This window comes from Homo sapiens, chromosome 21 (assembly GCF_000001405.40).
Source record: "Homo sapiens chromosome 21, GRCh38.p14 Primary Assembly".
NCBI lineage: Eukaryota > Metazoa > Chordata > Mammalia > Primates > Hominidae > Homo > Homo sapiens.
The window spans coordinates 25,004,387-25,030,307 of record NC_000021.9 but is presented as its reverse complement, the minus strand read 5'-3'; the positions used below and the strand labels follow the sequence as shown (position 1 = coordinate 25,030,307).

General features: G+C 37.8%; 1 long non-coding RNA gene across 1 annotated transcript in view; it reads right to left on the bottom strand.

Moving 5' to 3' along the window:
* LINC01692 (long intergenic non-protein coding RNA 1692) overlaps window positions 1-25,921 on the bottom strand; it is a 217,197-nt gene that overhangs the window by 27,439 nt on the left and 163,837 nt on the right. Inside the window, exon 3 of the long non-coding RNA NR_046198.3 lies at window positions 449-524. This is a non-coding gene — a long non-coding RNA (long intergenic non-protein coding RNA 1692). The remainder of the gene's footprint in view (window positions 1-448; window positions 525-25,921) is intronic.

Below are 25,921 nucleotides of genomic sequence, written 5' to 3'. Positions count from 1 at the left end.
CTTGATAACAAACATACACATACATACAACACCACAATGTAGATACAGGCACTTTTTAGTTGTTTTGTCAGTATCTAAGGAAAATGTAAAACCAAAGAGAGCCTCAGATTTAATATAAAGAAAGGAAAAAAAGAAGGAAGGAAAAAAGGAAGGAAGCAAGGAAGGAAGGAAGAAGGAGGGAGGGAGGGAGGAAGGAAGAAAGGAAAGAAGGAAGGAAGGAACTGTGCACATAATTTATATACATATAAATGATATATAAATTATATAGACACAAAAGGAGAATCTCCTGATTAATCAGACAAGATTCCACCAAGAAACACCTTATCCCAAATTGTGCAATTGAAAAGACTTTGAGGAAGGCACCTCTCTAGAAATGAAAAGCCAGACAGCCAGCAAAGAAACTGTAACTTCTTTCTATAACGACAGAAAACCAAATTATATTAATTACCTAAATGGACTTGAAAGCAGATTTTTCTCAGATCCTCCCGAAAAAAGACCAGCTGGTTGACGTCTTGATTTCAGCACTGTAAAACCCAAAGCAGAGGAACTAGTTGAGCTAACCCAGGCTTCTGACCTACAGAACTCTCAGATACTAAATGACTACTGGTTTAAGTTATTAACCTTATGACCATTTGTTATGGCAGCAATAGAAAACTAATACAATGCAATTTTAGTAAAAGCAAGATATATGCTATAAAAATTATTCTTTAAAAACCTTTCATTGATTATTTCTGATTATAAAAATAATACATATTCATTTTTGGAAAATGAAATAGCATAAGTAAATATCAAGAACAAAATTAAAATTATCTACATTCCCATCAATAAAGATCATTACTATTTTTGTGTTTCTCTTTTCAATGTTTTTATGCACACACTTTTGTTTGTAGTACAAGTAGAAGGTTATATATAATTGTACAGTCTTTTAATAAGTAACATTATATTATGAAGAATTTATGTTATAAAATTTTGCATAATATTTCTCCAAATCTACAATGGCAACACCTATGTCTTTTCTCCTTTTTTAAGACATGAGGTTTGGTTAATTAATACATATGGTAAAATGCAGAGCTCTTAAGTATTCAGCTTGATTGATTTTGACAAATGCATACAGATATGTAACTCACATTCATATATATATATATATATATATATATATATATATATATAATTTCTCTAATCTCAAAATCTCCTTCTTAGCCCCTTTCTCATCAATTCCCACCCTTTCAGAAACAACCCCTATTCTCATTTCTATCACCATAAGTTAGTTTTCTCTGTTGTAGAACTTCTTAAAGGGAATCATACCTTATCATATTAGGGTTTACAGATAAACAGAACAAATAGGATGTGTGTGTGTGGGGGGGTGGTGTGTGTGGAGAGGGAGAGGGAGGAAGAGAGAAAGATTTATTTTATTTGAAGGAATTGGCACATGGATTAGGGAAGCTGGCAAGTTCAAAATCTGCAGGGTAGGCCCACATGCTGGAGATCAGGGAAGAGGTGAGGTTGAAGTTCAAGTCCATAGGTCATCTGTTGACAGACTTCCTATTGCCCAGGACAGGTCCATATTTGTTCTCTTAAGGTTTTCAGCTGATTGGATGAGGCCCATCCACATTATGGAGGGCATTTTGCTTTACTCAAAGTCCACCAATTTAAATGTTGATTTCATTCAAAAACATATTCACATAAACATTTAGAATAATATTTGATCAAATGTCTAGGCACTGTGTCCAAGCCTAGTTGGCACATAAGATTAACCATCACAAGTCCACTCCTGGTCAGCTTGGCAACCATATGAATCTCCTTAAAGCATACTTAACCTACAAATAAATACAATAACAATGTCATACTTCCACCTAACACGATCCAACTGTCTTATGTACAACTGAAAATGGAATAACTCGTTCCCCCAAAAGAATGCAAAGTCCTTGAGTGATAGTTACTCTTCCTCTTGATATCCCATATCTGATATATCTCATAACTTAAACACTATTATGTCAATTTAACAATACTTAAATACTATACTATAAAGTTAATAGATCTTATGTTACCTATGGGGATAAGAGAGAAAAAAACAAAGATTATATATGTTCCGATAAACCCATTGTAAATTGAAAATATTCTAAGTCAAAAATGCGTTTAATACACATAAACTACCAAACGTTATAGCTAGCTTACTTTAAATGTGCTCAGAACACTTACCTTAGCCTACAGTTGGGTAAAATCTTCTAACATAAATACTTCTTTTGTAACAAAATGTTTAATAGCTCATGTAATTTATTGAATACTGTGCTGAAAGTGAGAAGCAGAAAGGTTGTATAGATACTTGAAGTATGGATTCTACTGAATGGGTACCACCTTTGTGCCAGTGTAAAGTTGAAAAATTATAAGTGGAAAATCATGTCAAAGCATTGTAAGTCAGGGACCATTTGTGTGTGTGTGTGTGTGTGTGTGTATATACATATGTGTGTGTATATATATGTTTATAAATATGTGTATACATATATATAAACACAAGCATCTTCATAACAACACAAGGAAGACATATTCATGACAATCACAGTCTGTTTCTATAACTGGTTACATGCTCATAACTGGTATTTAAAACTACTTTCTTCCACTGCCCATCTCATATTCCCATTGCTTTCAGCAAGTAACCCAGCTGATTATGGTTTGTTACCTGGTGGGGTGACCTAAATCTTTATTCCTGAAACGTATGGGCCATTCATAATCCTGCTTGGATTTGCTTGCTGCAGTTTTTCATTGACTTTAATCACAAGGCATGTTAATACTAAGAGACACTGCATGAATTTTGCTGTATTCCAGGCATATTCCTCCTTACTTCCATTATAAAGTAGCAGTCTAATTTCTCCTTGGAATTCAGAATCAAGCACTGAAGCCAGTACAATAATTTCCTTTTTTGCCTGTTATTCAGAGGACTGACGTGGCAGGGTGGAAGTCTTAACTTCCATTTCAACGGATCAATTATTGTGTTTCCTGGTGGCAGTAGCCCTCCCTTTGGAACTAAGACCTCCAGGCCAGCAGAGCATTAAGTTGTGGGCACAGTAAGCACAAATTTTGCTAGTCAGTCTTCAGGGGTAATAGTGGATGGTGCAACTCCCATTTCTACTCCTTGATTCCTGGGCCCATGAATCCTGCTGTGAGAGAAAGAGTACCATATATTTAAGGCTGATTTAGAGCACATATATTCTGTTGTAGAATCTTGCCTTGTCTTGTAAGGTATTGTACCTAGCTGTTACTATAAATGAGTCTTCAATAGGCCATCTCATCATTCTATCAAGCCAGCTACCTAAAAATCATGGGGAACATAAGATCAGTTAAATCCCTGAGCATGAGCCCACTACTATAGTTTTGCTATGAAGTGAGTTCCTTGATCAGAAGCAATGTTGTGTAGAATACCATGAGGGTGGATAAGCCATTCTGTAAATCAATGAATACAAAAGCATTACATGCAGGGAAGGCAAATATATTAACAGTGAGTGTGTCTATTCCAGCAAGAACAAACACTGTTCCTTTCACGATGGAAGCAGTCTAATGTAATCAACTTGCCATCAGGTTGATGCCCCCGGGAAATGCTGCTGTATCGGGGTCTCAGGGCTGGTCTCTGCCACTGGCAGATTGGGCGCTCAGCAGCAGCTGTAACTAGGTCAGCCTTAGTGAGTGGAAGTTCCCGTTGCAGAATCCATGCATAACCTCCATCTCTGCCACCATGGCCACTTTGTTCATGAGCCCATTGGGTGATAACAAGGGTGGCTGGGGAAAGAGGCTGACTGGTATTCACAGAACGGGTCATCTTATCCACTTGATTATTAAAATCCTTCCCTTGAGGTTATCCTTTGTTGAGCATTCACATGGGACACAAACCATCTTCAAATCTTTTTTTCTCATTAAGAAAGGTCTATTGACGGCCGGGCGCGGTGGCTCACGCTTGTAATCCCAGCACTTTGGGAGGCCGAGGCGGGCGGATCACGAGGTCAGGAGTTCGAGACCATCCTGGCTAACACGGTGAAACCCCGTCTCTACTAAAAATACAAAAAAATTAGCCAGGCGTGGTGGCGGGCGCCTGTAGTCCCAGCTACTCGGGAGGCTGAGGCAGGAGAATGGCGTGAACCCGGGAGGCGGAGCTTGCAGTGAGCCGAGATTGCACCACTGCACTCCCGCCTGGGCCACAGAGCGAGACTCCGTCTCAAAAAAAAAAAAAAAAAAAAAAAAAAAAAAAAAAAAAAGAAAGGTCTATTGACATGCCTCTTTCCCAAATTTCCTGGTCAGCAATTTTCCTATCATGTTTCTTCCAAGTTCCTGAACATCAGGTCCATTATTTGGTAAATAATTACATGCCTGATTATTTCTCCTTCCAAGAAAAGTAAGCAACCAATTTCAGTGCTCAAATTTCTGACACCTGAGAGGATTTCCCTTCACCACCATCCTTACAAAATGTCCAAGAAGGAAGCTGTACTGCGGCATTGCATGCTTTTACATGTTGCTTCATATCCTGTGGAACCATCTGTAAACCAGGCCTGAATTTTCTTTCTCTATCGATTGTTCATAGGGAAGTTCTCATGATGTCATAGGGGCAGGCTGGGAGAAAGAAGGCAATGAAGCAGGGGTGGGGACAATGGGCATTTGGACCAGTTCATATGGCTTACTTGTCCCTACAGGGCCTGCTTGGACCCAATCACATATACACCACTTCCATTTGATGAGAGTGCTGCTATGCATACTCAACTTTATGGCTTGGTAAGTCAGATAACAGTTCATGATGGGCTCAGGTCAGATGGTAAATGGGCAGCCCACAGTTAAGCATTCAGTTTCTACCAAGACCCAGTACCATGCCAAAAAACAGAACTTTCTTACAGTGCCCAAAAAAACCCAGAACTTTTGACACCTTGATCTTGGACTTCTAGCCCCCAAATGGAGACAAAAGATATTTTTGTTTTTTAAGTCACCCAGGTTGTAATACTTTGTTATGGCAGCCCTAACAAACGAACAGAGCTGTGATAATGTTGCTCCAGAGAGGGAGGTCATGCTGAGTCCCATACACCTCCCAGTCCTAAGCAGCGACAGTACAGTAACATTTTGAGATCCCACCCCCTACCAGATTGCATCATGCTCTGGGGCCCAAAAGCCACTACATTTCCATATCCTGGAGCACCATTGACATGTCCCATGCATAGTCACTGCCACTGCTGGCTGCTGCTGCTGGGGCCAAGGTATGAGCCACTGATAGTGACCCTGTCCCCTGATTACAGGGCCCCACATCTTCATGCACCTTGAAGAAAGCCTACCCTGCCACAGCCTCCCTTGCTGCTGGCTCCTGCCATCACTGAGGCATAAGTACAAGCCATTGGTAGTGACCCTGGTACCCCCAACAATGGAGTCTCTATGCACTTTCACACATTCCAAGAAAGGGCTCCCCTACCCTCAGCCACTGACACTACAGGCTGCCACCACCAGGGACAAGCACGAGCAATCTATGCACTCTCCAGCCTCCTCCCGCTTGCAGGGACTGCCACTGAAAGCTACTCTGCCCTCCCCAGTAGCAAAGCCAAAGCATAGTCACTGCTGCCCCTACCTAAGCATTCCACCAAGGTCGCAGATCACCCCATCCTGGCCTACCACAGCCAGTACCTGCACACACCATCAGAGGGCCAGATGACAGTTCCACCAGGCTGGGCTCCACCCCCTCCAATACCCAGTCCAGTCCACCACCTTCATCACCTGAACATTTCTCCAGAGGCCTGAGGTTAGGCACCTCCAACCTACTGCTACCATCACACGTGGCACCCACCTGTATGCACCACCTGCAGGCCTGGGGACTGGCCCTCCCAACCTGTCACTATCACTGATAGCACAAATGTGAACTTCTTGGGAACCGAAGGGTTGTCTCATCACTGCTACTGCCATCACCATTGCCACATCCACTTCCCAAGGGCCCAAGAACCCACCCGCCTGCCTGGCTCACTGCAGCCACTACTAGTACCCAAGCAAGCTGCCTAGATGCACAGGAAGACAAATATCACATGATCTCACTCATACGTGGGAGCAAAAGCAGTTGATTTCATGGAAGTAGGAAATATAATGATAGATATAGTAAGAGTGTGAGAGCAGCAGTGGGAGGGATGAAAAACCATTGTTTAATGTGTACCACATACAGTGAGAAGGAATACGATCTAATATTTGGGGCCGGGCGTGGTGGCTAACGCCTGTAATCCCAGCACTTTGGGAGGCCGAAGCAGGTGGATCACGAGGTGAGGAGATCGAGACCATCCTGGCTAACACGGTGAAACACTTAAAAATACAAAAAATTAACCGGGCATGGTGGCGGGCGCCTACAGTCCCAGTTACTCCAGAGGCTGAGTCAGGAGAATGGCATGAACCCGGGAGGCAGAGCTTGCAGTGAGCTGAGATCACTCCATGGCACTCCAGCCTAGGCGACAGAACGAGACTCCGTCTCAAAAAAAAAAAATCTAATATTTGGTAGCAGAGTAGGGTGACTATTAGTTAACAACAATGTATTTTATGTTTCTAAATAGCTAGAAAAGTTAAAATGTTCCCAACATATGGAAATCATAAATAATTGAGGTAATATATAACCCAAATACCCTGACTTGATAATTATGCATTCTGTGCATGTAACAAAATATCCCAAGAACCCCATGTAGATGAACAAATATTAAGTTTTAAGTATCAATAATAAATAAATAAATGAAAATTTTAAAAAGCAAATTATTAAGTTTGATGTTATAGCAAGGTACCTTTTATTTTCCTTGGGTAGTCTATGAATTTAAATTGACATAGTGTTCCACGTGGTAGCTAGTCAGATGCCAACAGGGCAGGAGAGGGCCCCTACACCCAACCAAGAAAATCAGGCAACCATCAGGTGATGGTCAGGCAGTTGTCACACCGCCTCTCTAAAATATTAACAGATTGCAGCCAGCACCGAGGAAAGGCACTGTCCCTATAGATAGGAAACACCTAAAACTGGTGATCAGCAGCTTTCTGATAAGATCTCAGGAGCTCGACGAAGGGGCTTAAGCATGCACATTAAGAGGAAAAATGGTGGAGTATGACCTTCCAGGGTCATTCTGCAGGTAAAGGGAACTCAAGTGAGCATGTGTACGACTCCAGTAAACACTGCGCATGCTCACCTCCCAACTGCTAGCAGGCCACTGCACATATAGGCAGCCCACCCCAAAGAAAGAGTCAAGGGAAAAGAGATGCAAGACGCCAGAAGTAGGCCAGCCAACATATAAAACCCGAAGCCCAAGGTCAAAGGGGGCACTTGTCCTCCAAGATGCCTGTAACTACAAGTTAACATATAAAATGTTGTTAAATTTAAGATGAGTAACGCTAGGACACGGATTATTTAGTGAGATGCAAATAAAAAATCTAAATTTTTTAAATAAAATTCCAATTCAAGTTTACTAGTTAGACAAATATAAAAACCTATAAGAACTGAGTTTTTTAAGTAGCAACACAAATGACATGAATATACATCTACAAATGTCTGCATATACATATATAGAAAGAGATAAATCTAGATCTATATACTTAGAAATAGAGCATTCACAATTTCTCACAGAGAAAAGTTAATGCAGAGGCAATGAAATATGAAGATGCTATCATTATTTTCAGAAATCCTTGCAGTTTCCATGGTAAGGCAATATGTCATATTATTAGGTTCATTGAATATCTAGTAATGGACTGCCCTGGATCCATTGAAGGTTTAACATATCCTCTATTCTTGACTGTGAGTTTAGGCCTATGAGGTACAATCACTGTGCTTCAATTTTCTCACTTGTAAAGTAGGAAAAAATAATAGCACCTTTCTCATCAGTTGTGAAAATGGCATGAGCTAGCAAATAGAAGGTGGGTAGAATAACGTATTTCAGATAGTAAGCAACTCAAAGCTGTTGTTGTTATTATTATTATTATTATTAATTCTGGTACTAGCTTTTGCTAGTATTGAATGAATGAAAATCTGATATAATTAACAGTATTTAAATGTTCACAATAATCATGCAATCTGTGGATCCATGTACAATTTACGTTTTATTTTATATTTTTTCTCTTTCCCACCCCCCCCCCCCCATAACACACAAACAATACATAAATACACTTCAGCACTATTCTTTTCTTTAAAGGGTTCAGAGCTTTGGATGAAAAAAGTAAGTATTTTGATATTTCAGAATATTCCAGCAGTGTTCATCTTCTGCTGTTGCACTTTACATTTGCACAATGCTACTTCAAAATAACAAAAGTCACCTTAAAAATAAACTCGGCGGGACTGGGCGCGGTGGCTCACGCCTGTAATCCCAGCACTTTGGGAGTCCAAGGTGGGTGGATCACCTGAGGTTGGGAGTTCGAGACCAGCCTGACCAACATGGAGAAACCCCATCTCTGCTAAAAATACAAAAATTAGCCAGGCGTGGTGGCTCATGCCTATAGTCCCAGCTACTCAGGAGGCTGAGGCAGGAGAATCGCTTCAACCCAGGAGGCCGAGGTTGCAGTGAGCCAAGATTATGCCATTGCACTCCAGCCTGGGCAACAAGAGTAAAACTCCGCCTCAAAATAAACAAACAAACAAACAAACTTGTCGGAAGGTGTGTGGCTCACTGTTTCACCAAGGAGGTGAGGAATATTCTATGCACAAGCATCAGGGTATGGACTGCAGAGCTTCCTGGCTGATGGTATAGCTATTTAGGAAATGAAGCTATGGTTTTCACCTTACCATTCTTGTGAAAACTTAGAGAAATACCTTGTTTAAATCGAGCAGAATGTAAAATGCTTCTGAGTTGTGAACCATGGAACTTCGGAACCCTAGGGCAAAACTAACAATGTAGTTGATAACTAAGCTGAGGAAATTTTTTTGCAGTTACTAGAAGTGAAATGACAAGATTAGCAGTGGTAGGGATAAAAAAAAAATCCAACAATGCCTTGTGTGTTCTGTATCATAGTCTTAGGGCCCACAAGAGTCAAGGGGTTCTCCTGAGGTTACGATTGCAGGAGCCTGTGATGGAAATGTGGGCCATTGGGGTCTCTCACTTACCTTTTCCCCCTATTGAGGAACCTCTCCAGGTTTCCAGCCAAGGCTGGCCAAGGAGGCTGCCTCGTTCCCCTCTCTTTCCTTGCTTTAAGTGTTTCCTGTGACTTCTCTGTTGAATTCCTGTTCTCTCTTGGATGATCTATTTGAAGTGTGATCATCTACTAGCTATATTAGCTCTTCTTTGTGGAGGAGGTGAGTACCAGCTGCCTGTAGTCAGCCACCTGAAGCCACTTCTCATTTGTTTTAAAAAAGTGAATTATTTTAAACATAATTTTTAAATGAGAAAAAAATGTATTTGTTAACACTTATCATTTCCAGTGCACTGCAATTCTTGGTGTTTCCATCTGGTATTACTTCCTTTTATCATCAACAACTTTTTTTTTTCAATGTTTTACAACAAGTTTCTCTTATAACTTTTTAAATAGTGTAAGTCTGTTGGTGACAAATACTCTCATGCATTTATTGTTTAGAAATCTTTCTTTGAGCTTTTTTTTTTCTTTTTTTTTGAGATGGAGTTTCACTCTGTCGCCCAGGCTGGAGTGCAGTGGTGCTGTCTCGGCTCACTGCAAGCTCCGCCTTCCGGGTTCATGCCATTCTCCTGCCTCAGCCTCCCGAGTAGCTGGGACTACAGGTGCCCACCACCATTCCCAGCTGTTTTTTTTTGTATTTTTAGTAGAGATGGGATTTCACCATGTTAGCCAGGATGGTCTCGATCTCCTGACCTCGTGATCCGCCCGCCTCGGCCTCCCAAAGTGCTGGGATTACAGACGTGAGCCACCGTGCCTGGCCTGAGCTTTGTTTTTTAAGGCTATTTTTGATGGGTATAGAATTGTAGGTTGATATTTCCCCCGCTCCCTCCCAATAACTTTAAATATGTTATTTTCAGTTATCCTTTTTTTGACTTCCACTGCGTCTGATAAAAAGTTATGAAATAGATTTTATGATTTTCCCCTGCATGTGACCTGGATTCTTTGGCTTCTTTCAGTATCTTTCCCACAATCATTAGTTTTTAGCATTTTGATGATCATTTAGCTTGAGATAGATTTGTTTGTGTTTATGTTCCCTGGGGTCTATTGTGATTCTTTGAAAAATGTTGGCTACTATTCCTTAGCTATTTTTTCTCTCTCTCTTTTCTTAATATGACACTCCAATCACACATATGTTAGAACACTTTAAAATGTTCCACAGATCACTGAGGCTCTCTTCAACTATTTTTCAATATTTTTTTCTTGTTTTTATTGAATGTTTTTGACAACCCTATTTTCAAAGTCATTTTAAGTTTACTTTTACAGTGTCTCATCTGCTGCCAAGTCTACCTAATACATTTTCCATTTTATGTGTTGTATTTTTGTTAACAGAACTTCCATTTGGTTGATTTTTAATGGTTTCCATCCCTTTAATGCTTCCCTATTTATCTCTTATTTATTATTTATTGGGCATATTGTCCTGACTTACTGCATGTCTAGATAACCTTTATTACATTCTAGATTTTCAGAATGCTCTAATATTGAGTATCTCCATTTTATTGTGTTTCTTAAGAAACTAATGAGTTTGGTTCTTGCAGGCACTTAATTTACTTGAGGATCAGCATGCTAATTTAAACTTTGGTTTTAAGCTATGTTTGAGCAGTTCTAGAGTTGCCTTTACTGTAAACTCTAGAATATCTATTTGTTTATAGTGTGATGTTTTTGGAATTTTACTCAATGTCCAGAATGTAGAAGAAGGACTTATCTCTCTGGCTAGTTTGCACACAGATTTTTTTTTTAACTCTCTTCATAAGTTCTAACAATTATTTAGCTCACAATTCCAGATAGATGTTCTTTTTTATTAGTTTTTGTTTTTTGCCTGGTTTCATGGAGTCTTACCCTGTGCATCTACACTTATAAACCAGCCAAAGACTAGCCAGAACTGTGAATAAGTTTCTCTACAGACTTCTGGAGCTCTTTTTCTGCATGTCTTCTCTAATATCATGTCTCAGAAGTCAGGTCTCCTCAGCAGCCCCAGATTTCCATTATCTGTCTTCACAGATCAGCAAGATGCCTATGCTGGTACTCTTTGGACCATGTCCATAAACAATGTGTGATCAAGCTATTTGATTTGTAATGAGGAAGTGATTGGTGACCTTTAAACTATAGTCTTGGAGGTGTCACAAACATCCTATTTCAGGTTGATAGTTTTGAATGGGGATGAGAAAGTAACTATAGTTATTAAAACTCTCACTACATATCACCATAACTGATTTCTCAAAATGTGAGAGAGATGGATGCTGTTACATTCTTTTAGAATAAACAGAATAAAATATTCATCAACCACAAAGTTGGTGCTGATGATCATGGCACCAGAAATAACAACAGGACAAAGCACCATCAACACTTAATGAAGGTAAAGAAAACTGCAAGTTTATTTTATTTTATTCTGAGTTTTTTTTTTTTTGAAGTGAAGGCTTGTACGTTTAACAAATTTTGCGTACATTATAACTATATTTCTTTCTAACTGTGAGAATATGACCCTTTGATTTTTCATCCTATAGTTTATGAAAGAGGCATTCTAAGAATATCTTAATATTTACATATTATGGACCTCCCCCCCGTCAAAATGAAGAGTTAGTTAGTACTTTGCTGATTTCCATAACTAAAATTGTTAAACAATAATATAGTTATATAAATGAAGAAAACAGCTGTTTAGCTCTATTTTAGAAAAAGTACAATAAATGTAAATAATTAGGGAGTTATTATTTACTAGCATTATGTGGCATAGTATAGATAACATAAAATATAACAAAACAAAAACAACTGGACTATAGTATTCTTCTGTTATCATTGTTATTCACAAGAAGCAAGAAGGAGTTCCTGGAAGACAGTTCATGATCCAAACACTTCTGGTTCTCTGTAATTTTGTGTATCTTTTTCAATATAAATCAAATCTACCATGCAGGTAAAATCAAACTGAGGAAAGAAAATATGACAGACAATAAGCTTTAAAAAGGAAGCTTAGAGTCTGAAGTGGTACTTTATAATGGTGAGAGCTACAAAGCAAGAGGATGAAACATTTCTCAGATAGTTTTCTTGCTGCCATGACATAACCTGGGGCATTTTCAATGATTCACTGATGTCTTTGGAGGTGGTGGAGAGGTTTGTACACACCCTCCCAGACATCCCAATCATCACTTAAGTAATATGATAAGGTAAATTTGTCTTTGTTACTGTAACTGAATTGGTTTTTATAAAAATAGTTTATGCTTCACAAACTTAGATTATTGTAGCCTGACACATTTCTGCTATACTAATCTCTGACCTACTCTGTAAAATGGCTGTGTGCTGATTATAGGTTTTATTGTGTATAATAGCTGGTATTGATTGCATACCGGAAGCCAGTTGATTCTCAATGTAATCCACTATTGATAATAATTAATGACTTGCTTGCTTGTACTTAGAAAAAGGATGCTGATAATTGTAGGAACAAGGAGAAACCCAACAAATTTTATCATTTAAAAAAGGGAAGCCTGGAAATTCAGGTGTTCTTAATAAGAAAAATAGATGTATTTCTTATAGAAAATAAACACAATGGTAAATAAAGAAGAAAGAGAGTAAATCAGACTTTTTTTCCTTTTCTACTCTTTGTACACCATTTCTCTTGAAGTTTGAAGTTAGATTTTGTATAACCAACTAATATGTACGTATTAGTTGGTTAACGAAGCAGAAATGTGTTTTTCCACTCTGCTGCAGCAAAGTATCAAAGGAATGACTCTGAGACAGGAATAATCCAGGGTGGTCACAGGATAATGGAAAATTCCAAGCAGCAGTTTTGCATGACTGGCAAATAAAAACTGTTGAAACAGTTGCATAAGCTAGGGACTGCTAAGACGGTAAGACGGCAAAAACCAGTATGTGGGCCAAGCTGGCTAACTGACTGGACCCAATATGGTGCTGGATGTGACCTAAGTTTCACCTAGGACCTCATCATGTGCTCATTAACATACTAAATAATACGCCCACCAGTGCCATGACAGTTCCAGGAACATTCGTATTTGGTTTAAAAATGGTTGGCACCACAGTTCTCAGAAATTTTCTCCTTTTTCCAAAAATCTGTATGAAAATCTTCATGAATATTCCACCCCTTGGTGAAAGAAACTCATAAAAATAGAAGCTCCAAACCCCACTGGGCTCTACTCACTTTCTTGAGTATGCCTGCACTCCCCTTTCTTGAGTGCGTACTTTGGCTTTGCAACAAATTGTCTTACTTTCACTGTTTTCTGACTGGTTCCTTGAATTCCTTATTCCAAGTTGTCAAGAGCCTTGACTCTGGCTGGGATGGAAGTCCCATCAGTGTTTGGGCACCTCCCCTAGCTCAGGTGTCAACTCTTCTACTATAGATTTTTCTAACAAGAAAGTACATGAGAAGGTATGCAGGAAACATACCAAATCGAGAGACCATGTCTAGCATGCAATCATTTTTTTAGTTCTCAGAGAGAAGCCACCATTACAGCTCTTCTAAGGTTTTGTTCTTTAATTTTTCAAACTTTATAAGAACAATGCATTTGCCAAGGTAATATAAGTTAGCAACTCAGAGAGAGTTATAATAGCTGCATAAAATAATGTTTAAGTCACCTAATATTATAGAAATGTATTTTGTTCTTTCACAAAATGGATGGTTAGGAAAATGTATTAATGAGTAGAAAAGATTTAATAAAGTAATATTATTTCATTAAAATTCATTAAAAAAGTTTTAATGAAAACTACAGTTGCCATTGAATATATAAATATATACAGTTAAATTTTTTTTTGAGTGCCCAGGCTGGCGTGCAGTGGTGCGATCTCGGCTCACTGCAAGCGCCGCCTCCCGGGTTCAAGCCATTCTCCGGCCTCAGCCTCCCGAGTAGCTGGGACTACAGACACCCGCCACTGCGCCCGGTTAATTTTTTGTATTTTTCAGTAGAGATGGGATTTCACCATTTTAGCCAGGATGAAAGAAAGAATTTTAATAGGTTCCCATACCAATTGCAGATGTCAGGTGTAGTTATTATTCATCTCAGGCATTTCAACAATATTGTACCTGACATTGATCTAGGTGCAACATATAAAAAATGTTAAAAAACATTGTTCTTCAACTCAGGTATTCCTTCAAGGCATTATCCTTCTAATTCCCCAAATCAAATATTTTATATGGTCTTGATTTAAAAAATGATTGTAATTATATTTCTGGTTAGTGACTTGTGCGTTCATTGATTTTGGAATTCTTATTCAGTTCTTAAATTTGAAATAAGCAATTTATTTTCGTTTTTAAAACTGTTCCTTCTGATGAGTTTTTAGAGGCGATGGGGAGCTCAAACCTTGATAAAAGCCCGATGAACATACATTAGTGGATCATCAAGTGTAATTTACAGAAATCATGGGAATTAGAAACCTTCAAGAAAATGGCAATGTAGCAATCTGGATAATTTTTTAGAAACATACTTTTGAGACTAACCAAGCACCCTGCTTGGCCTGTAGTGGGTATTTAATAAACATACATAATCAGTGAGGAAATTTTTAAATAATAATGATTACATTTTTTTCAGGAAAATGAAAATGTTAAGAAATGTTGTACTTGATTATTTAATTAAGAGACAATGAAAATGGGTCCCCGTGCAAATCTGTGATACTGTGATAAGAAATATATATTTGGTCTTCATTACCAGGTTCATAGCATAGAGCTCCGGGAAGCTATATAATTTCATGAGTGATTGGAATGAGAGAAGCATCTTTTGTTGTAATATTTGTTCTTTGTCCTTGGTTTCTGATATAAGGCTTCTAAGACACTTGGAATTTTCTGAGTCATAGGATTGGCTTTGGTATCCTAATGAATGACTCTTGGATGGCAGGGCTTCTGGATACCTGCAGGATAGAGACTAGTCATGAAAGAGGCTTATAATGTAAGGGATGGAACTTTCAGTTCCACCCCTGGACCTCCGGGGAGGAAAGAGGGAGCTGAAGATTGAGTTTAATCACCAACAGTCAATAATATAATTAATCATGCCTACACAATGGAACCTTCATATAAATTTCTAAAGAGTGGGGTTTAGAAGACCTCTGTGTTGGCACGTAAATCCATGTGCCACAAGAGTGGCCTACTCCAATTCCATGGAGACAGAAACTTCTGTGCTAGGGATCTTTTCAGACCTCATTCTATGTACCTCCTCATCTGGTTGTTCATTTGTATCATTTGTAATAAACTGGTAATAATTTTTATCCTTTATAAACTAGTAATAGAAAGTAAAGTTTTATAGCTATTGCTTATCATGTTGGCTGTTTTTGTAAATTATTAAACCTGAAGAGGACGTCATGGGAAGCTTCAATTTGTAGCCAATCAGCCAGAAGTATGAGAGGCTTAGGATTTTGGATTGGCATCTGAAGTGGGGGGACTGAGTCTTTAACCTGTGGGGTCTGCACTCATTTCAGGTGGCTAGTGTCAGAATTGAACGGAATAACAGAGCGCCCAGTTGATGTGCGGAGAGTTGGAGAATTAGTTGGTATAGGAAAATCTCCTACACATTTGATGTCAGAATTGTTGTGAGTAGAAACAGATTAGAACACAGAAGTGTGAAGAAATTGAAGAGGGGTGAAGTGAACCATTTTGACCCATTTTTTTGAATGAGAGAATGAAAAAAACAAAACTATAAGAGATTGAAGCAAACAAATCCTGAAGAAAACAGAGAGAAACTGCCTAGAGAATAAGTATTCTGTGTTTTAAAAAAGGAGATAGGAGCACATACCGTGTTTTTTATTTTACTATAAATCATCCTTCATGCCTACTCAGTTTTATAAATGTTACATGTATTGTAAACCTAAATAACAAACAGAGAGAGGCTCTCTAAAACAAAATCATATTTATTCAAAACTAAGGCATTGTAAAGGGAATATGAGTATCATAGTAAACGATACGCATATTCAAGGAGGTAAAAAAGACTTTTTAAAAATGAGGATGATTATGCCATCATTTTGAGATAATTATTCTTTGCTATAAGGCTTAACAACAACGGTGATGCCAGTCTGAGGGTGCACAGGCAGTGGCTGGGCACGTGTTTTCGCAGACATATTTTTGATGTAAGTTTGCGATGGCCTTTGTGCAAGCTTGTCTTTGCAGAGTCTTTTGTGGTAGTTTTTGTTATCAGGCATTTATGCGTAAGAACTCTTCTATTTTGGCCTTCCCTGGCTCTATTTGTCTTTTTTGTTAGCTTGTTTCTTTTTTTTTTTTTAAACAGAAATGACTTTTGATTTTGACAACTTTCATACCATGTATTCATTTATTTAATGAAGCATTCAGTAATTGATTCTTTATACCTTTATTACATTCTTACAATGTGACAGGCCCTGTCCTAAGTCCTAAAAAGTATTCTGTAGTGATTGTCATTGTTGAATAAATGTTAAAGAAAAATTTATGAAAAGAATAAGGAAGAACAGAAAAAAGAAATAATATGGATTAATTATATAGAAAATGTAGATATTTATGTATGCCATAAATAAGAAAAAAATGGAAAATTTTGCTTTATTATTTGAATTCTGTTATTAAAATCATTTCATAAGAATTAAATGAGTCAGCCCCTTAAGTTCTTTGTACAATCTAAGAATAAATATAAAATCATTAAATTTTAGACACACTGAAGTTTTGAAAGTAGACTTAATTTTATACGAGGGATTCTTATTAAAATAATTAGAAGATACTCAGTTGTCCAATGGACTCTGAAAAACTGTGTACATTTTAAAATGAAAGTTGGAATTAACAAAACAATGTCTGCTTTCAAGAAGAAATGGTGTCATGATGGTGTGGCACTAAAACATTCAGTGTCTTAGATATAACTTTGACCTTTAAGAAACGAACAAGATATTTGAAAAAATATGTAGCCCAGTGATTAAGAACAGTAATGGTCATCTTCAGCTAAGTGAGAACAACAAGTTCATAAACGGTAGTGGATGAAAATAATAGGTTATTTATTTTTCACATAGTGTTTTCGGGGCTGTAGAGTTTTTCTTCTCCAAGTGTCTTTCATTATGGGCCTTAGACTGAAAGATCATTCCTCATCTAGGACATGTCATTTTGTGCCAGAAAAATAGACAACTGGTGGAAACACATAAGATTCTTAAAGCTTCTGCTCAGAACTGGAATGCATCATATCTTTTCATTAAATTGACCAAAGTATGTTATGAGGCTAAGCCAAGTCAATGGGCCAAAGACATATACTGCTCCCCTAAGAGGCCCTGTAAATCCCATGGCAATGGTTGGTGATAGATAGTCCTTTTACACAGTAGTTAGTCAATAAATGAGAGCAATAATGCAGATTATCTGAAGAAGATAGATTTGGAGCCAAACTTACCGGATTTTCCACATAATCTCTGTGTAAATCTTTATGCCTTAAATTCCTTATCTGTAAAATAGAAAACACTAGACCTATCTCATAGGGTAGAAATCAAAGTCAAGAGAATTAATGTTTGTAAGGAACTTAGAATATTACTGGGTTATGGTAAGTCCTGTTTAAGTGTTAAATACATTACATGGATACTGCAAAATTAATCATACTAGTTTATTTCAGTTACACTTTCTGATTGCACCCTAGGAAATGCTTGTCAACTGTAGGTATTTAGCAATAAGCAAAGGAACACCAGTTTTATCAGATTTAATAAATTCTCATGAAAACAAGCCTCTGGTGATTACAAAAGCTGTGAGTTAATTTCATTTTCCAAGGTGTCATACTTTTACTTGGTGTTTATAATAAAGATCATAAACAATGAATTCATATATAATATGTGACCTTTCATAAAACACCCAGAATAGGTAAATCCACAGAAACAAAAAGCCAATTGGCAATTTCCGGGGGATAGGGGGAAGGGAGGGTAGAGAGTAATTGCTTTATTGCGTACAGAGATTTCTTTTGGGGAGATGAAAATAGTTTGGAATTAGATAGAGAGGTGGTGGTTACACAACACTGTAAATGTACTTACGCCATTGCATTGTACAATTTTAAATGGTTACTTTTATATTATGTGAATTTTACCTCAATTAGAAAATGAATTAATTAATAAAGTCTTCATATTGGTTCTTTTTACATTTTTACAAATCTTAAATAACATATTATAAATATAAGCTTATAGGAGACAGAATTTCAACTACCTTGAATGACACCGATGACCCCACAATTAAACTTAATGAAAATTAACCTTGATTTCTTTGGACGCTTCACATATTTAGTTAACTCCCTACAAAATATCTCCTCTTGGTCTACTCTACGCAACCTCACACTTGACACCTAAACTTGAATTCACAATCTCCCTAATCTTATATATCAAATGGTAATTTTTAACCTCCCCAAATGACACTGTCTTCTTCCTAATTTTGCAACTTGGAAACAAGGGAATCATTCTTCATAACCCTGTTTTCCTCATACCTTTTGCTAATCCATCTCCAGAACCTGTCATTTTATGTCTAACTACATCTCGATCGTATCCACTTCTGGTTCACCTGGATGACTCTAATAGTTTCCTAACAGGCCTCCCCAAATCAACCCTTTCCATATCAAATGCACCTACTTGCTCCAACACATATTCATATGATCCATTCTAAGCACTGAAGCCAAAGTTGCCATCTACCCTTACAAACTTTTCAAATGCTTTCTGTTGGTTTTATCTTGGCCTCCATCTCCTTGCCTTCATGTACAATTCCATTTCATGTCATTCTTCTCTTTGATCTGGCCACATCAGTTACCCAAATGCATCAGGTTCTCTCCAGCCATGGGCCCTTGACCTGAAATGCTAACTACCCTCTCTGTTATGGGATGAATTGTGTCCCTCAAAAATATGTTTAATTCTAACCCCCATATCTGTGAATGTGAGCTTATTTCAGAATAAGATCTTCACAGATGTAATCAAGTTGCAATGAGGTCATTAGGATGGGCCTGAATTCAATATGACTGTTGTTAGGATAAGGGAAAATTTGGACACAGAGGCATGCATGCACAAAAGATAATGTGGAGATACAAGGGGAGAATGCCATGTCATGATGAAGGCCAAGATTGGAACATCTTGGCTGCCACAAGCCAAGGAACACTGAATCATTCTTGATAACTCTATTTTCCTCATACCTTTTACTAATCCATTTCCAGAACCTGTCATTTTATGTCTAACTACATCTCAATCCTTTACAATTCTGGTTCACTAATTGGTCTCCCTAAATCAACCCTTTCCATATCAAATGCCCCTACTTGCTCCATCACAAGACTTCTATCCTATAGAACTGTGAGAGAATAAATGTTTGTTTCTTTAAGTCACTCAGCTTGTGGTTCTTTGTTACAGCAGCCCTAAGAAAGGAACACTCCTTTTCACTCCTTCATCTTTTAGATCTCAATTCAATAATCACAGGACACTTTCCATTTAAATATGTGAGTAGTTCAAATTCTCTTGTTAGGAATCTTGTATTTGCCTTCTAACACTTATCAGAATTGCAATTTTACATTTATTTGTGTGATTTTTCATTTAACACTTACTATTCAGTCCCTGTTCCATTCTAGTCTCTCTCAGTGTAAGGATATTTGCTGTTTTTTTTTTTTTAAACTTGTTGTTGCATTTCAACACCTACATAATGGCTGTCATATAGAACACAATCAGTAACACAGACCTAAACTTTAAAAATTAATAATTTATTATTACATGCCTATGTTATGGGAATGAAGTGAGAGTTAAAGAGAAAATGTACACAAAAGCAACTAATAAATATGCATGTGTGTATGTGTGTGTGTATATATATATATGCCAGTATTTCAATTTATGATTGAATGTAAGTGATATTTCATGAAGCCATGAATTCAATTTTGAAGTAATGGTGAGGATATTTTGTGATGAGATGGATAGCAACAGAATTCCTTTCTCTTTTTGAGCTTTATGATTTAATTTGCTTGCTATATTGATCTGAAGCAGCAACCTATTATTGAAACTAGGACAGAAAAATACTAGATTTGGTAGAGACCTGAGCAATCTGTCATCTTTGTGAATAAAACACAAATATGACATGTTTCAGGCACTGAAATTTCTAATGATATTAACCTCTAGAGAAATTTGACTCGCTGACCTGATACTAAAAGATACATTCTGCATCTTCTCTGGGGAATCTAAGACTTACCCAGGTGATTAGGCATTTTATCATCACTGGCAAAATATCTTTTGGTTGTATAATGCATCTTATGAAATTAACAAGTGCATAGTTATTTAATTAGGATTTTCAGCAGTTAATTAAAATATGTTCTTGATATTTATCTGTTTTCCTTTTCTTTTCTGAAAATGTAAGTTTAGATCTCCCCTATCGAAAAGTTCTTGCACTCTCTGTCCACAAAAACCCTCCCATATCATGCCCTTTCTCTGAATAGTGTTTTGAGTCATTATATTTTCTCCAATTATTTTGGCCTAAACATTTACATTTTCTGACTGTAGCAAGAAGATGTTACTATTTTATAAGAACAATACTGAAAAAAGTTCTAGATAATAATTGGAAGATAAAAAATGTGGACTAATTCAGAAAATGTGTGTTTCTGCGTGCTTTGACAATGAAAAAAATTTGAACATAAAATTACAAATCATTTTTGGGATGTTTTGTTGCTTGAGAGATAAATGCTTAGAAAATCAAAGTATATTTGTCTACAAATATACTATATGTTAATGATTGTTTACAGATTAAAATAAGTAACATCTTAATATGTTGACATTGACTTTGGAATATGCATATTACAAAAGAATCTCAAAGGAGTTTTCAGGTGATAAGTACTTGGTTTTAGAGATCTGAGCAAGTTGACCCTGTTAGGGAAGGTGTGATGTAAACAGAGCCAAAATAAAGGTGCTACAAATGTGAGTTAACTTTGCATGGGGAGGCCATCTCTTCCCATCTGGAGACTTGCCTTCTTTTTTTTTTTTTTTTTTTTTTTTTTTTTTTGAGATGGAGTTTTGCTCTGTCGCCCAGGCTGGAGTGCAGTGGCTCCATCTCGGCTCACTGCAAGCTCCACTTCCTGGGTTCACGCCATTCTCCTGCCTCAGCCTCCCGAGTAGCTGGGACTACAGGCGCCCGCCACCACGCCTGGCTAATTTTTTGTATTTTTAGCAGAGACGGGGTTTCACTGTGTTAGCCAGGATGGTCTCCATCTCCTGACCTCGTGATCCGCCCGCGTCGGCTTCCCAAAGTGCTGGGATTACAGGCGTGAGCCACCGCGCCTGGCCGAGACTTGCATAGAAATGTAACACATGAGTTTTTGTAGAATTTACATACAGAGTGTTTTGAGAAATGTGTCCTCAGGCAATCTCATCACTATGTGAATATCCTAGAGTGTTTTTACACAAACTTAGATTGTATACCCTATTGCAGACCTAGGCTATAAGGCATAGCCTATTGCTCCTGGGCTACAAAGCTGTACAGCATGTTACTGTACCAACAACTGAAGGCAATTGTAATACAATGATAAGTATTTGTGCATCAAAATATCCTTAAACATAGAAAAGCTACTGTAAAAATGATATGGAAGATAAAAAATGGTACACCTGTATAGGGCATTTACCAAGAATGGAGCTTGCAGGACCAGAAGTTTTTCTAGGTGAGTCAATGAGTGAGGGGTGATTGAACATGAAGTCGTAGGACATTACTGTACACGACTGTAGACTTATAAACACTATACACTTAGGCCACATCAAATTTATAAAATACAGATTTTTTTCTACAATAATATGTTAACTTTACCCACTGAAAGCTTTTTACTTCATAAACTTTTATATTTTTTAACTTTTTTGATGCTTTTGCATTAACATTTAGCTAAAAACACAAACATGTTGTACAGCTGTACAAAGAGATTTTCCTTCTTTATGTCCTTATTCTACAAGCATTTGTCTATTTTTTGATTTTTTAAAAAATGTTTACACTTGTTTTGGTTACAAATTAAGATACATACACATACATTAGCCTACACAGGGTCAGAATGATCAATGTCACTGTCTGCCACCTCCACATCTTGTCCACTGGAAGCTGTTCAAGGACAGTAACAAACCTCGAGCTGCCATCTCAAGATAACAATACCTGTTTCTTGCATATCTTCTGAAGGACCTGTCTGATGTTATTTTACATGTAACTTCTTTTTGTAATAAATAGAAGTGAAGTTTACTATAAAATAATGATAAAAAGTGTAGTATAGTAAATACATAAACTAGTGACATCATATTTATAATTAAGTATATTAGTCTGTTCTCCCATTGCTGTAAAGAACTACCTGAGACTGGCTAATTTATAAATAAAAGAGGTTTAATTGACTCCCAGGTCTGCAGGCTGTACAGACAGCATGGCTGCAGAGGCCTCAGGAAACTTACAATCATGGCAGAAGGGGAAGGGGAAGCAGGCATGTCTTACGTGGCCACAGAGAGAGAGAGAGTGAGAAAGGGGAGGTACCACACACTTTTAAACAACCAGATCTCGTAAGAACTCACTCACTATCATGAGAACAGCAAAGGAGAAGTCCATCCCCATAATCCAATTACCTCGCACCACACACCTTTTTCTTTTCTTTTTTGAGACAGAGTTTCACTCTTGTCGCCCTAGGCTGGAGTGCAATGGCACAATTTCAGCTCACTGCAACTTCCGCCTCCCAGGTTCAATCGATTCTCCTGCCTTAGCCTTCCGAGTAGCTGAGATTACAGGCATGCGCAATTATGCCTCGTTAATTTTTGTATTTTTAGTGGAGACAGGGTTTCGTCATGTTGGTCAGGCTGGTCTCCAGCTCCTGACCTCAGGTGATCTGCCCGCTTTAACCTCCCAAAGTGCTGGGATTACAGGTGTGAGCCACGTGCCTGGACCAGGCACCTTTTTCAACATGTGGATTCAACTTCCCTTCCCCTCCCTTCCCCTCCTTTCCCCTTCCCCTCCCTTCCCCTTCTCCTCCCCTCCCTTCCCTTCCCTTCTTCTTTACTTTCTCCTTTCCTTTCCTTTTCTTTTTTTTTTCTTTTTCTTTTTTTTTTCTTGAGACAGAGTCTCGTTCTGCTGTCCAGGCTGGAGTGCAGTGGCACGATCTTGGCTCACTGCAACCTCCGCCTCCCGAGTTCAAGCAATTCTCCTGCCTCAGCCTCCTGAGTAGCTGGGACTACAGGCGCGTGCCACAACACCCGGCTAATTTTTGTATTTTTAGTAGAGATGAGGTTTCACGATATTGGCCAGACTGGTCGTGAACTCCTGACCTCAGCTGATCAGCCCACCTTGGCTTCCCAAAGTGCTGGGATTACAAGAGCGAGCCACCGTGCCTGGCCTCTGAAACTTTTCTAATACAAATACTGTTTGAAGCCAAGACAGAGAGATAGATTTGAGCTTAACACTCTCTCACGTTGGGAGTTGACTTTCAATACAAAGCTTTTTTTTTTTTAAGAACCTGGTGTCATAGTATTGGCTTCTAGAACATTGGGCAGCAAGCCTCTTCCGCTTGATAACAATCATGTTACTCTTACAGAGTAGAGTGGGAAAAAAGCAGAATATTTAATAATCCGCCAAGTAAATAAAGAGGCCCTCTGTGGTTAAAATTGAGCATCTCTATGTAATACACTCAACTTATAACAGAAAAAAAAAATCATAAAACCTGAGCTCTTTCTTGGAGATATCTAAAATGTAGTATCTGCAGACACTCAACTCTCATCCTGAGGAATCTCTATATTAGTAGTGTAGTATTTTACTTCTAAATATATTTCATTTGTTATATTTTACTAACAATAACTTTTTAAATTACTAACACTCTGTGATAGATTCTTGTATCAATGCTTTCTACACGATATTTTAAGACTAATCAACAAAATGCTGTAAGCAAAAACTCACAAATTATCAACTGAAAGTATCCATGGTGGCCAGGTGCAGTGGCTCAAAACTGTAATCCCAGCACTTTGGGAGGTAGATGGATCACTTGAGGTCTGGAGTTCAAGACCAGCCTGGCCAACATGATGAAACCCCATCTCTACAAAACTACAAAATTTAGCTGGGCATGATGGCAGGTGTCTGTAATCCCAGCTACTCGGGAGGCTGAGGTGGGAGAATCCTTGAACCCAGGAGGTGGAGCTTGCAGTGAGCCAAGATCACACCACTGTACTCCAGCCTAGGTGACAGAGCAAGACTCTGTAAAAAAAAAAAAAAAAGAAAAAAAAGTATCCATTATGTTTGTCCTATAGTCCAATTAACTAAATAATTATGGGCTTTATAATGACTAGGGAATATAAAATTAATTTGATTTAAATAGAGCACAAAATAAAAGATGTAGTATTTCTCTATCTCTGGGCATACTGCTAATTCTTAAAAGATGGTTTAGAAATGAGTTTCCTCTCTATAAAATATAGTAAAGCACAGTAAAGCTGTTTTTATTTGAAAGTTTTGTGCACAATATTAGAAATTCAAATGTTTTTTTTGTTTGTTTGTTTGTTTTTTAAAGATGGCTACTCCGTTTTGAGCAGGATGAGAGCAAAATCATACCTGGGGGATATTTAGAAAAGGAAGCCGTCTCTGCGTGCTTTTTTAATTTTTTCACTTAAATTTAAACCAGACTTAAAAGGATTGCTTAATATCTTTCAATGACTCATCTCAGAGTGACAACATAAACTCCTCTCCCTGCCTACAAGACCCAGTGACAGCTGGACTGTTTTTGATTTTTCCTCATCTTAGACCACAATTTCCCCCATGCTCACTAACTCCACTCACCCTGGCCTTTTCGCTGTCAGAGCAAGCCAAGCTTGTCTCGCCGTAGGGACTTTGCACTTTATAGTTTATCTTCACCCAAATGATCTCGTAATTCACTTAGCAGCTCAAATGTCAGCTTCCTCAAAAATTCTTTTTAAAATTCATGTCTCAACTCAAATGTCAGCTCCTCAAAGAGACTTCTACAACCTCTAAAGTCAGATCACATCCATCCCTTCTTTTCTGTTTTTTGTAGGATGTATCACTGTTTGGTGCTATATTTATTTGCTAGGGCGACTATAACAAAATGTCACATATTGGATGGCTTAAACAACAGATATTTACTTCCTTACAGCTCTGCAGGCTGGAAGTCCAAGATCAAAGTGCCAGCAGGGTTGGTTTCTCCTGAAGCTTCTCTCCTTGACTTGTGGATGGCCACCATGTTGTGTCTCTCCTCATGGTTGGCCCTCTGGGCATGGGCACCCTTAATGCCTCTTCACATGTCCAATTTCCTTTTCTTGGAAAGGGCAATAGTCAGATGGGATTAGGACCTACCATAATGGCTTCATTTTAACTTAATCCCCTCTGTTAAGGTCTTGTCTCCAAATACAGCACACACTAAGGTACTGAGGATTAGGGTTTTAACATATGAGTCAGGGTGTTATGCATTTCAGCCAATTATAAACATTATTTATGTTTTTACTATCTGCTTTCTGTCTGCCCCTTCATAACATGAACTCTATGAAGGCAGGGGAATACATGACTTGTTTTATTTGTCTTTCCTTAACCAGTCTGAGTTAATGATCCTAGTTGGGTACAGGTGTTGGACAATGAATATTTTTTGAATGCTTGAATGGTTTCAGTAAAGGCATATTGATCTCCAATGTTGAGTAGGAATCTTTTCACTAGAATAAATTACATGTACTTATTGTATGGAGAGTCAATGTGGAGAGAGAAAACTTTCTGCCTCAAGTATTTGGAAAATTGTTCAGAGTTTAAAATAAAAATAAATTTATTTTATTGTGATAGATTTTATTTTAAAACTCTCACCCATAAAACTATCGTATGAAATATTTAGAAAAGTCAAAGAATATTCTTAAAGAACAAAGAATATTCTTTAAGAATATAGCTAAATAACTTAAATGAAAAACATGGAGGTGC